The sequence below is a fragment of the Homo sapiens genome, chromosome 5 (genome assembly GCF_000001405.40).
Source record: "Homo sapiens chromosome 5, GRCh38.p14 Primary Assembly".
Taxonomy (NCBI): Eukaryota; Metazoa; Chordata; class Mammalia; order Primates; family Hominidae; genus Homo; species Homo sapiens.
In genome coordinates, this window is record NC_000005.10 from 24,167,014 (window position 1) to 24,181,022 (window position 14,009).

General features: G+C 34.8%; 1 long non-coding RNA gene and 2 pseudogenes across 1 annotated transcript in view; 2 read left to right on the forward strand and 1 right to left on the reverse strand.

Annotated features, from left to right (window-relative positions):
- LINC02899 (long intergenic non-protein coding RNA 2899) overlaps positions 1-11,252 on the forward strand; it is a 226,918-nt gene extending 215,666 nt beyond the window's left edge. Inside the window, exon 5 of the long non-coding RNA NR_131245.1 lies at positions 10,824-11,252. This is a non-coding gene — a long non-coding RNA (long intergenic non-protein coding RNA 2899). The remainder of the gene's footprint in view (positions 1-10,823) is intronic.
- AKTIPP2 (AKTIP pseudogene 2) lies at positions 3,158-4,432 on the forward strand (annotated as a pseudogene).
- Positions 3,226-5,264, reverse strand: LOC503540 (AKT interacting protein pseudogene; annotated as a pseudogene).
- Positions 11,253-14,009: the final 2,757 nt, after the last annotated feature.

Here is a 14,009-nt window from a genome sequence, read left to right on the forward strand (position 1 = left end):
CCATTTAATGCCTCCTGAACAGAACTAAAACGATTCTATATTTCTCAGCCCTCAACAGCTTGAAAATAAAAATAGACCGTTATAAGTGTCGCAAGCATTTTGAAGTTCTGTGCTCACTTACTCTTCAAAAGTTTTGGCCTCTTTCAAATCATTTTGAAATAGAGGATATTACCGTTTGCTCTGAAAATTGTTCATTATAGATACTTTATGGCATGTCTACTTTCCTCCATCCATCTGTACTATTATCTGGTGACATTTTCAGTCACCACAGTTACCCCTACAGCAGCTATGGTGCTGAAACCAGTATTGCTGCAGATAAATTATGGAATCCACATTGAGATTTTTTAATGTTTAATAGGGAGAGTACTAATCTTTTTCCCCCAAAAGTGGTAGTAGTTGATCTGCTTGCTTTTTCAAGGAAATAACACTGATAAGAGCTGACTGATATTTGTGCTTCCTTGACATACGGCTGTAATTAGCTGTTCACTGATATCAACAGAGCTGATGTATGTATCAAAATACTTATGTCCCATTTCTATTCAAGCCATTGCCAATGCTACTGGTGATACTTTGAACTCATGATGCCACAGAAATGCTAAGAAATTTTCTTTCACTGCTGTGTGTTTTTGTGTGTGTCTAATTGCAACTTGCGTGCCATTTAACCACATTATGAATTATTGGGGATGGAGCAGAAAGTAAAAGAGTGACACAAAGCAATGATGTGAAAATATTTATACCTTCTCCTAATATCTGGCCTTTGTTCTTTGAAAGAAACTGGAATATTTTACCATAAGTCTTCATAGTCTTTGTGCAAACACAGTATTTTTGGATCAACTCTCCTTTCACTCAGGTGCCTATTGTGTCTCAGGAAAATTAAGACTTTTTCTCAGAGGAGAGGCATTAATAAATAACAGATCATGGGTAAGCAAAGCTTGGATACAAAGCTCAATAATTAGCTACAAGTGGAATAATAGGAAATGAGTCATGTGCTTATTGTACAAATTCTAAGCACATACCATAGTCTTTAGCAGTTTGTGAAACACAAGAAAAGCAGAAAACAGTATCTATAATGAATCATCTTATAACATGTTTGGGAAAAAAAGTATAAGGTATGTATTTCATAATTTAACATTGCTTATCATAAGTAATAAACTAGTGATGGAGGCAGTCAGTGGTACAGAGTTTGTGAAGGAGAACCTTTCTGAAGAGCATATAAAAGTGATAGAAGGTTGTGTCATATGTTGCGTTCATAAATCCAGGAAAAAGAAAAACATAGTGAGGTTATATTGGGCCTATTAATTAATGCTATTTTATTTTGAGCAGTGAAATACATTGTCAAAGTAGAATCCCAATTATTATCAATCAGAAACACCCATATTTGGACTGAAGGGAGAAAAATTATCTGTATTTTCAAATAAATATGCATATTTCTGGTTAACAATCATATCACCCTAAATATTGGAAGAAAAAGGTCAGAATAAGTTAAAATGCCAAAATTGTTTTTGGTATAACAATTTTCACACATATTCACATATATTTTAACAGGAAGTGTTTTTAATTCATTCTAACCCTATGAGATTTTCATTTGCAAATAAATTTGAGTCCTTTCAGCCTTGACTTAAATTGTGTATATAATAGCTCTCTGCAACGTAGAATAAAAGGCTTTTAAAAGGTTTAGAACATTTTGAGATAGAAAACAGTTCATGCAAAACATTGCGATGAGATAAATATAAAGAATGCGAAACCATATGGATTAATTTTCCTTTTAAATACAAATAGAATATGACACTATGAGAAAAGTCACTTGGAAGAAGAGAAGTGGATCACAGAGTATGAAAAAGTTTTTTGAAATATTGTTTATATATTACTTTTAATAACATAACTGAAATAAACTTACTTTAACATGTATTTTGTTTTAATGTATATTCATCACAATAAAATGATCATTTCTTTTTATGACATAAATCATGTTTCTTAAATAGTTTCAATTTATTCTGCACACTTTTTATTTATTTATTTATTTTTAATTTAATTTTATTTATTTATCTTTTTTTGAAGCGGAGTCTCGCTCTGTCACCCAGGCTGGAGTGCAGTGAGGTGATCTTGGCTCACTGCAAGCTCCGCCTCCCCAGTTCACTCCATTCTCCTGTCTCAGCCTCCTGAGTAGCTGGGACTACAGACACCCGCCACCACGCCCGGCTAATTTTTTGTATTTTTAGTAGAGAAGGGGTTTCACCGTGTTAGCCAGGATGGTCTCGATCTTCTGACCTCGTGATCCGCCCGCCTCAGCCTCCCAAAGTGCTGGGATTACAGGCGTAAGCCAACTTGCCCGGCCCAAACTTTTAAATATTGTCTACAGTTGGCATAATCCTCAGACCACAAGCTTTGCTCGTGTTCTCTCTATGTAAATAGAGAAGAAAAAGTGAAAATAAAATAGCTTGAACACATACAGGATTCAACATGCTAAGATGGTTCCTTGGTAATAAAGACATAGGCAAAGATCCTCCCACCTTGCTCTGCTGAATGATACTTTTGTTTTTAATACTTCCCCATCACTTCTTTAAAATATGTCTGATATGGTTTGGATCTGTGTCCTCACCCGCATCGCAGTTGTTATTCTCAATGTTGGAAGTGGGGCCTGGTGGGAGGAGATTGGATTATGCGGGCAGTTTCTCAGGAATGCTTTAGCACCATCTTCCTTGGTACTGTCGTTGTGATAGTGAGTTCTCATGAGATCTGGTTGTTTAAAAGTGTATCTCACCTCTCTGTCTTGCTCCTGCTCCCATCATGTGAGATGCCTCATTCCTTCTTTGCCTGACGCTATGACTGGAAGCTTCCTGAGGCTTCCCCAGAAGCAGAAGCTGCTATACTTCCTGTACAGTCTACAGAAGCATGAGCCAATTAAAGCTCTTTTCTTTATAAACTACCAGGTCTCAGGTATTTCTTTATAGCAATGCGAGAACAAGGGACTAATACAATGTCCCTTCCCACCAATATTAAATATACTCAAGTTTCTTTGATATTAGAGAAGAGGGATCCTCCACAAATCAGATGTACTACTCAGCTGTATGCAAACCGCTTTACCTATCTTCCCTCTTCCCCATCCCCCACAAACAAATATCCTTAAAAGATGTACAAAACTCGAGGGGGCGGAGCCCGCTGCCGAGGGCAGGGCAGGGTGGGGCGGGGCGGGGATCAAGCAGGGGCAGGGCTGGCGCTGCGGCCGGAGATGCTGTTGGGCCGCGACAGCGCTTGGCAGCCAGGAGCTCTGCACTGAAGGCACTGGGGTAAAGTGAATGCCGAAGACAGAAGATTTGGATGATACACCACTGAATTTCTTTGTTTGGAGTACACGTTATGAACCCTTTCTGGAGCATGTCTACAAGCTCTGTACACAAACGATCTGAAGGTGAAGAGAAGACATTAACAGGGGACGTGAAAACCAGTCCTCCACGAACTGCACCAAAGAAACAGCTGCCTTCTATTCCCAAAAATGCTTTGCCCATAACTAAGCCTACATCTCCTGCCCCAGCAGCACAGTCAACAAATGGCACGCATGCGTCCTATGGACCCTTCTACCTGGAATACTCTCTTCTTGCAGAATTTACCTTGGTTGTGAAGCAGAAGCTACCAGGCGTCTATGTGCAGCCATCTTATCGCTCTGCATTAATGTGGTTTGGAGTAATATTCATACAGCATGGACTTTACCAAGATGGCGTATTTAAGTTTACAGTTTACATCCCTGATAACTATCCAGATGGTGACTGTCCACGCTTGGTGTTCGATATTCCTGTCTTTCACCCGCTAGTTGATCCCACCTCAGGTGAGCTGGACGTGAAGAGAGCATTTGCAAAATGGAGGCGGAACCATAATCATATTTGGTAGGTATTAATGTATGCAAGGAGAGTTTTCTACAAGATTGATACAGCAAGCCCCCTGAACCCAGAGGCTGCAGTACTGTATGAAAAAGATATTCAGCTTTTTAAAAGTAAAGTTGTTGACAGTGTTAAGGTGTGCACTGCTCGTTTGACCAACCTAAAATAGAAGACCTCTATGCAATTAGCTTTTCTCCATGGAATCCTTCTGTACATGATGAAGCCAGAGTAAAAATGCTGACTCAGAAAAAGAAGCCTGAAGAACAACACAATAAAAGTGTTCATGTTGCTGGCCTGTCATGGGTAAAGTCTGGCTCAGTATAGCCTTTCAGTAAAGAAGAGAAAACAGTGGCGACTTAAGAGATGGTGAATCTGGTGCACTATGCACTTTCCTGCTGGACTCTGGCCTAGTTCAAGCTGACCAATGGCAGAGGACTGCCTTAAGAGTAAAACTGTGTGAACAATGACTGACTGCCAGTGTTTTCCATGTATGCATAGGTTCTAACAGCAGGGTTTGGAAACCTGTCTCTAAGTAATGCATTACTTCGGTCAGAAGTGTCTTAGGGTGGTTATCTAGTTCAGTACTCCAAGTTATTGGGGACCTTGAGGCTTAAGTATTTTTCTGAATATAATGCTAAAGGTAAGTTGCATTCATTTAAACTAATAGAGCAGACAGAATTCAGCACTACTTAATAGTTTATAAATCAGTGGTTTCAGTTGTATATATGTTAGGAAATGGAGAGGTATAGAGAGAGCAGGTCCATAGCTCAGCACTTTTAAGTGGAAGATCATTTGAATCTCAGTCTTCAGCCTGCAATGATTTGTAGCCCGCACTGTCTTACTGATTTACAAACTGAAATCACTGAGAAATGTCTTTAGTTGAGTGAGAAGAAACCAGAACACTTGTTCCTAGTGTTGTATTGTTTTTTTAAGCAAATTACTTACTGTATTTTTATGGCAGGAGGGAGAAAAAGTGTTACAACGGTTTCTAATGAAGTCCGGTATTTAAATGATAAATGACTAATGTGTTTAGTAGAGACAAAATAAACCAATAAATGATTGTTCTTTGCCATTTATGCAGGAAACTACCCTTTTCTCAACATAAACAAACAAAGGCTAATTTAGAAATGCTTTATTGAAAAATACACTTATCTTCATATAAAATTACAGTAGCAGTATCTTGAGAGGTTTTGTAAGTATTTTTGCAGAACACTATTCTAATTGAACAGTATAAGTTCCATATTTCTCTCAGAGCAATATGAAATTACCTAGTAACTTTGTTTATACTGATTCAATTTACAATTGAATTTTCTCCCTAATAAGATTATTAATTTGACTTGAAAACTGCTGGAACAATAGTGATTAATAAAGATATGTATAGATAATTCAAAAAAAAAAAACTCGTCACCTACACTTTCTTCTTATTCCACTGCAGTCTCACTTCTGCCCCACAATCTTCTCCTAAATTTAAGTTTACACAGATTTTCAATGACAAGTCCCTTACTGGATACTCTAATTCTGAAGATACTTTCATCAGCATCCCCTACGTAATGATATTCCTTAGGTTTTGGTTCTAAACTCTCTTCTGTACTCTGCTGTATTCTCCACCATAATCTCATCCACTTTCACATCTTCAAAAATCATCTGTGTAATATGACTTATAAATCAGTGCTTTCTGAGTAGAATTTGTTCTTGAGATTTTCCCATATCCAACTCATAATTAACATATACATTTTAGCTATCGTCAGGTGCATCTTGAAATAAAACTTATTAAAACTAAATTTTGATTTCCCCATCCAGACAAGTAAGCATTGGATGCATATATTATTTATAACATTTTGTAACCCAATACCTAGCATTGAATCTGATACATAACTTTAACTTAAAAGCTATTTGTTATAAACCTTTATTTTCCTTCACAATCTAACATTTTATCAAATACCTGTACTTGAAGCTATGTAGTAACCTAAAGCCTTACCTTCAGTTTTAACTTACTATAGCCAATTGTAGAAAGTATACTCTGAATGATTTTGAATAAAATTTGAAGACATTTGGTCAATATGTGTTTGTTAGTTGTTGCTTTAAAGAAGTCTACAGAATATAATCGAATCTATAGTCATAAACATTAATGGAAATATAGTGTAAAGCAAATATTTCATTGTTCATGTACATTACTTCATTGATTTTGCTTTCAAGAGAAATGTTTTAATTCAAAACATTTATATATATGAAATATATAATAACTATTTTATTCTGCCATTGTTCAATATAAAATCCTGGATTGTAGACTAATTTTAAAATTTTATTATTAAGGTTTAAATTATATATAAAGCATGGTATCCCTCTGATACATACAGTTGGCTAAAATTTGTCATAGTAGACTTTTCTAATGGTACCAAAATATGGTAGCTAGCATAGGGGATCTCACCTTAGCATTTTGTCAAGTCATTTAAAATGTATGGTGATACAATTATAACAAATAATAAGCCAAGTCTACTAATCCCATAGTCTTACAAAGACAAATGAATGCAACATTTTAAACTAAAATTATCATATCAGTAATATTTGAACCTGTGCTTCCTCTGGCTTTAAACAGCAGTTTTACTTAGCATTTGTTTAGTTGTGTTTAGACAAATTTTGAGAAAATACTTGTATTTCTATGTTAACATACAAGTTGATAAAGTATACATTATATCAAGTGGATTAAAACAGACTTTCTATGAAAATATTATGATACATTTTTCTATATTTTCATTATATTTGACAGTTATCATCAGCAAAATATTTTGACTGAATTTAAGAACAAGTTCCATTTAAAAGTTTTGAGATAATTGAGACAACTCTTTGATGTCTGATTTTCTATCTTTCCACAAAGCTAGTATTCATGATTACATATATATATGTTGATAATAGATTAGGTTTTCTTATATAACTTCTTATAGGATAGTTGTACAATGTATGCACTCTAAGCTTTTTTCAGTGACTTGTATACAGCAGTTTCTTTTGAAGCCACTAGTAATAGCTTCCTTTTTTGCCTTGAATTCTGACAGTATTTAATATTAATAATTTTCAAGCAATTTAGTGGTTAACTAATTCAGAAAATTATTTTAAATATCTTTTTTTCAAAACAAATCTATTGTAAGCTTAGTTATATTTTAATTTGGACTATTTATTATGCTATACTTTTTGAATTAGATAACTAAAATGTTGGGCACCTGTTTGGTTGGACACTTTGCTTAAACAAAGGTGGAAGTGAATATGAAAGAATTAGAAAAGTGGGTCTAGATATAGCTATGAATTTTTTTATCCACAAATATTTGTAAATATGTTAGTAGGTAATTTGATTTGTTATTACTATACATTTCTTGTTTTTGAAACAGGATCTCTCTCTGTTACCCAGACTGAAGTGCAGTGGCATGAACACAGCTCACTGCAACCTCAACCTTTTGGGCTCAAGTGATTCTGCTGCCTCAGCCTCCCAAATAGCTGAGACCACAGACGTACATCACCACATCATCATACTCTGCTAACTTTTATTTATTTATTTTGTAGAGATGGTTCTCACTCTGTTGCCCAGGCTAGTTTTCAAACACCTGGGCTCAAGCAATTCTCCTGCCTTGGCCTCCTTTCAAAGTGTTGGGATTGCAGGCTTGAGCCACCACACCCAGCCATATACATTTCAATGAGAAATTAACTCTACATTTTGTTCCAATGCCTATTTAAGTAATCAATCTGCATTTTCAAAAGGAAGAGCAAACACGCAAATAAACACAAAGAAAGCAAACTATAACATAATTAATGAAAAAATATCTCCACCAAACATCTTTTCAGTATATCCACAAACATTATTCTGTCCCTCATAACACAAACACACAGAAATGCTAGATTACAACACAAATAATGATCAATTCAGGAGAAAAATAAAAGAAATTATTGCCTTAGAGAAATAAATATAATTCAATTATAAAGAAAGTGTACTGTTTAGTAATTGATTTAAATTTGATCAGAAGTTGCTTAGCACATAGAAGTTATGTGAGAATGTTGAACAACTGTCCAAAAGCTCCATAGCTCCATTCAAATTTCAAATTTTCCTTATTTTATTAACTTCGGTTTTTGAGAAAATGATTTTATATTTTAATATTTTACACCTACTTTTCTCTCTCTCTCTCTCTCTCTCTCTCCCTTTCTCTTAAAAGATACACACATATATATGTGTACATGAAAGGAACAAATATATATATATATATATATATATATATATATATATATATACACACACACACACATATACAGGATAAGGTAGGTTTGCTATTGTATAATTAGATTTGTTAAAGGGAGTAATCTATATATCCAATTGATAGATACATAAAACACTTATTAGATTCTGCAACCAACCAAGTTGATACTCTGTCATCACTACTGTTAAGAAAATCTATGTAAACATAGTAACACATATCTTAAAATAGGATCTTTACCAAAATCATTTCATAAAATTATAGAAGATATTGGCAGCTTCAAATAGATAACCTAGTTACCTAGATGCTGTTTTAAGTTTCCAAACCTGAAAGCTTGGGGATGTTAAGAAATGCAAAAGTCATCTTTGTAACTAGCTAGACATAAACACAAATACATCATATGGGAAAGTATATTTGTGTCCTTGTTATATTTAATGGTATTTGAATATTATATCATTATCAATTTCTCACAAATGTTTTAAAATATTTTCTAAAGACATATTTTTGAACTCTTTTTCCTTGTATCCCAACTTCACAATCTCTACCTCAGTCTTAAGATATATATAAATATTTATTGTTAAAAAGTATAGGTTGAGGCCAGGTGTGGTGGCTTGCGCCTGTAATCCCAGCACTTTTGGGAGGCAGAGGCGGGTGGATCACTTGAGGTCAGGAGTTCAAGACCAACCTGGCCAACATGGCAAAACCCCATCTCTATTAAAAATACAAAAATTAGCGGGTGTGGTGGCATGCACCTGTAATCCTAGTTACTTGGGAGACTGAGGCAGGAGAACTGCTTGAACCTGGGAGGTGGGGGTTGCAATGAGCCGAGGTTGTGCTGCTGCACTCCAGCCTGGGTAACAAAGTGAGATTTCCTCTCAAAAAAAAAAAAAATATATAGGTTGAATATATGCTCTCTTATTCTATATTTTCTATGTATATTTTAAAAACATGAGTTCCCTTCTACAAGTTCTCAAAATTAAGGTGTAATACAAAGGGATACAATTGTAACACAGAATTCTCTATAGACTTAGTATTTTTTAAATGCTGTCCTTACTCACTAAGGCAAATTTGCCATTTCATTTGCATGTATAACATTATCTCTAGATGACCCTTTAAAAGATGTGGTAAATTATATTTTTGTGGAAACTTTTAAAATTATACTCTAAAAAATAAACTCCCAAATTAAATGATCTCTTTAAATACCTATCGGTGATTCTGATAACTTTTATTTATTAGTCAGGATTTTATATTCTCTGACCTCATTTAACAGATCCTTGCTTTCCATCAAAATTGGGATATTTTCCAGTCACTGACTTCAAAACTTTAACTTGCTTAGCATTTTTTCAATGATTAGTTTATCTTAATCAATAATGATCTACATCTCACTTCTTAAATAATTTGTATTATGCTTTTCAAATTTAAATTTTACTGTCTGTGTTTCCAGTATTAACTACCTGATAATCTTCTGAGTTAGAAACATGATATCTGGCTACTTTTTTCCTTAGAGAAATCTTCTGTTGAATGTCAAGAAAAAATATCTACAAAGTAAAATGTAATACAGGCTGTTAATAAGTAATCTCTATTCCCATTTCCAGTGTTTTGCAATATCTTAAAAAAATATGACCTAACTGATCACACATGTGCTCAAAATTTCTGACACACTTTGTGAATTATGAAAGATAAAAACACACATATTTTGTTTTCCTTCAGAATTTCTGACTTTCAATATAGTAAATATGTTTTAATATCTTTGAAAATTTATAAGAATAAAAGATATCATAGAGGGTAAAATGATGTACAGGTGGCCCTTAAACTCAATATCTACAATCTTATGGCTGCTTAAACTAACATGCTAAAATTTACAGAGAATATTATTTATTATGATGTAAGGTGGTTTTGCATATTCTGTAGTTAAAAAAAATGGTGAAAAGGAGAGATAAGTAAAACCTATTGCCTAGTCTTCAAAATGTAGAAGTTATTTTCACACACTGAAAAGAGAGGAAACAAATTCCAGGTATGTGAAACAGCACACATGAACCATACATTACATGTGAAAAAATGCAAAAAGGGAGACCTTATTTTAGCAGATATTCCACTCCAGGAAATAATAGAAGAAAAATTTGTCTAAGTGGAGTGGGACTAGGTTATAGAGGACAGGACTTGAGGTTCAGATGGAAAAGTTAAATGTGTTTGCAAGAAACAGAAAATTATTGAAATAAATTAATTCTGACTTTTTTATAAGGTTATCTAAATGGCAAAAAGCTGGAGTTTCCATGTATTGCAATATTCTAGGTAGTTGAGTTCTTGCTTTGGAAAAGCAGCTATAAATAGGTAGATAGAATAAATGTAAACACACACTGCAGTGCAAAAATGCATGTTCACATCTGTGTGTCTGTGAGTGTGTGTGCACATGCTTTCATAGATGTGTCACTTGGTTTCTAATTAAATAAAAGAAGTAGAAAACGGATAGGAAAGAGAGTAGTTTCCACATTTAACACCAGGTGACTGGAAGTATACTCAGGTCTAGGATAGAAATAAAGTTTTTAATGATAGTTCCTATCTTGGAAGAGAGAATTGCAAGTCAGTATAGTTTTAGACTGATTCTGAACTGACTACAATGTATTTATGAAACACTCCTTCTGTAAACATGCTTAAAATTACTTTTTTCCAAACACAATTATTAACCCTTCTTTCCTGGATTATCTGTTTTCAGCTGAGCTTCTTCCATGCTCCACTAAACCATTTCTTGCATCACAGTGGAGAGTCGAAGAATTCCATCTCTTGGAATCACTTTCAAGCAGATGTCTAGCTTGGATTCAGCCAATGGGATTCAATAAAGAGAGATTTAAAAGTCAGAAGAAAACAAGAATTCCAGTACAGCTGTAGCAAGATGCGCAGGCATTTGGCAGACATGACGTTGGCAGCAGCATCCAAGTGAGTTCCTGTGAATCACCCGCTTTGAGAATTCAAGCAACTAGTGCCATTGCAGGTGGCTTTCTCACATTCTTGAATTTTTAGATCTCTGAGGCTAGTTAACAATCTCTTTGACATATACAAATGCAACTTTACAAGGGAGAAAAAAGCATCCAATTCTCTGCATTGATTTTTTTTCCTACTCAAAATAAATTCTTAGAATGCTTTAGGTTTTGACTTTGTTGTTTTTTTTTTTATTTTAGAAAAGCCTAAGTAACACATCATCTTTTTAAAATTTTTATTTTATTGTGCTAAACACACAGTATGAGCTCCACCCTCTTAACAAATTTTAGTGTACAATACATCATTGTCAACTACAGGTACAGTGTTATAAAGTAGATCACTAGAGCTGAATCATCTTGGTAACTGAAACTTTATGTTCATTGATTAGCAACTCCCCATTTTTTTCTCCACCCAGCCTCTGGCGGCCACCATTTCACCCTTTGATTATAAGATTTTGACTATTTTCAATGTTTTCTCCAAGTAAAATCATGGAGTATTTGTCCTTCTCTGACTGGATTATTTCACTTAGCGTAATCTCCTCCAGCTTCATTTATGTTGTCACATATTGACAAATTTCCTTTTTTGTATGGCTAGCTATATTCCGTTGCATGTATATACCATATTGTCTTTATGTGCTAATCCATTTTTAATAGACATCTGGGTTGTTTCCACATCTTATCTCTTGTGAATAGTACCACAATGAATACAGAAGTGTTAATATCGCTTCAAGATTCTCATGCTATTTTTCAGATATATACCCACAAGTGGGATTGCTGGATCATATCATAGTTCTATTTTCAATTTTTTGAGCAACCTCCACAATGTTTTTTATAGTGGCTCATCATTTTGTATTCCCACCAACAGTGCATGAGAGTTCTAGTTTCTCCACATGCTGGCCAATACTTGTATTTCTCATTTTTGATAATAGCTATCCTAACAAATGTGAAGTGACATCTAATTGTGGTTTTGATGCATTTCCCTGATGACTAGTAATGTTAACATCTTCTTATATACTTCTTGGCCACTCATATGTCTTCTTTAGAGAAATATCTATTCAACTCTTTGGCCCATTTTTAAATTGTATTATTAGGGTTTTTGGTTTATCTTGTTTTGTTATGTCTTGTTTGTTTGTTTTTGCTATCGAGTTGTAGGAGTTCATTATATATTTTGGAAATTAACCCTTTATAAGGTATATGGTTTGCAAATATTTCCTCCCAATCTGTAGTTTGCCTTTTCATTCTGTTTATCCTTTGCTGTGCAGAAGCTTTTCCGTTTGGCACAGTTACACTCATCTATTGATGTTTTAGTTGCCTGCACATTTGTGCCATATTTATGAATTCAAACTTAATGAAGAAGGTGAAAGATTTGTACATTGAAACCTACAAAACATGGATGAAAATGTTAGATAAGACACAACTAAATGGAAAGACATCCCATATTCATGGATTGGAAGTCTTAATATTGTTTAAATGTCCATATTATCAAAACAATATACAGATTCAATGTAATACCTAATAAAATTCCAGTGGCATTTTCTATAGAAATAGGAAAAGCAACTCTAAAATGTATATGAAACCACAGATTGACACAAACAATAGAATAAATTTTGCAAAAGAAGAGCAAAGGTGGAGGCATCACAATATATTTGTGTTATATACATCACAGTATATTTCAAAATATGTTATAAAGCCACACTAATTAAAACAAAATTTTTACTATGTATCAGCCCTAACTGAGCTGAGACCAGGTACCAGACAACTAAGGACAACTGTGTGTCCAAGGCCTGCCAAGTTTCTTCAAATTAGCCAATCCACAAGGATCCCAGGAAACCTAGCTGTGCTTACCCTATTTGCTATACATAAACATTCCCTTATGGCTTCAGTTTGCTGTTATGCTTCATGGAGGGCACCTCTGTGTGGCCCTGCCAGGTAGCTTTTTTCTTTGAGGTTGTAAATAACAAAATATTCTGCCTTTTTTTTTTTTTTTGAGACAGTGTCTGTCACTGAGGCTGGAGTGCAATGGTGCAATCTCGGCACACTGCAACCACTGCCTCCTGAGTTCAAGCGATTCTCTACCTCAGCCTCCTGACTAGCTGAGATTACAGGCGCCCGCCACCATGTCTAGCTAATTTTTGTACTTTTAGTAGAGACAGGGTTTCACCGTGTTGGCCAGGCTGGTCCCGAGCTCCTGACCTCAGATGATCTACTGCCTCGGTCTCCCAAAGTTTTGGGATGACAGGCGTGAGCCACTGTGCCCGTGCTCGGCCTCTGCCTTTCTTTTATCTAAAGTGTCATTGTGTTGTAACCTTCCATCGAAAGGATCTTCAAATCTTATAAATAAAAAAAGGAGGCAACTTGATACATACCAAATGGGGACAATGAGCAGCACATGCTAAGAGAACAAAAGTTCTAGTCCCACGGATTAACATGATAGTGGAGATGAGGTGGAAATTTATGGTGACAAAATATGCAGTCTTTAAACAATACTGATTCAGAGGCAAAAGAGGACAAGATATAATTTGATTCTATATGGTATTGATTATTCAAAGGAAAAGGGAGTTTGGAATATGAAATGCAGTGGCTATCAAGTGTGTTAACAAAGAAATTCTACCCACGCATAAGGATCAAGAGACATCAAGATCTGGTTGCTGGAATGGCAATAACTGACTAGAAACTTTATCATGAATTCTCAAATTAATCTCAGACAACAGCAGTTTGTGGGATAACTGTTTTGACATACACCAATTAAAACTTTGCTGTGAAAATGACACCCTGATATTCTGAAATTCTAGATGATATATTTTTTTCAAAAAACATTCTTATCCACAGAGATTACAATCTCTCACAAAGGAATTAATCATATTATTGCACACTTAAATTTGAACCTTGATTCTTCCCCTAATTCAGGGGATCCTTTGTACGCT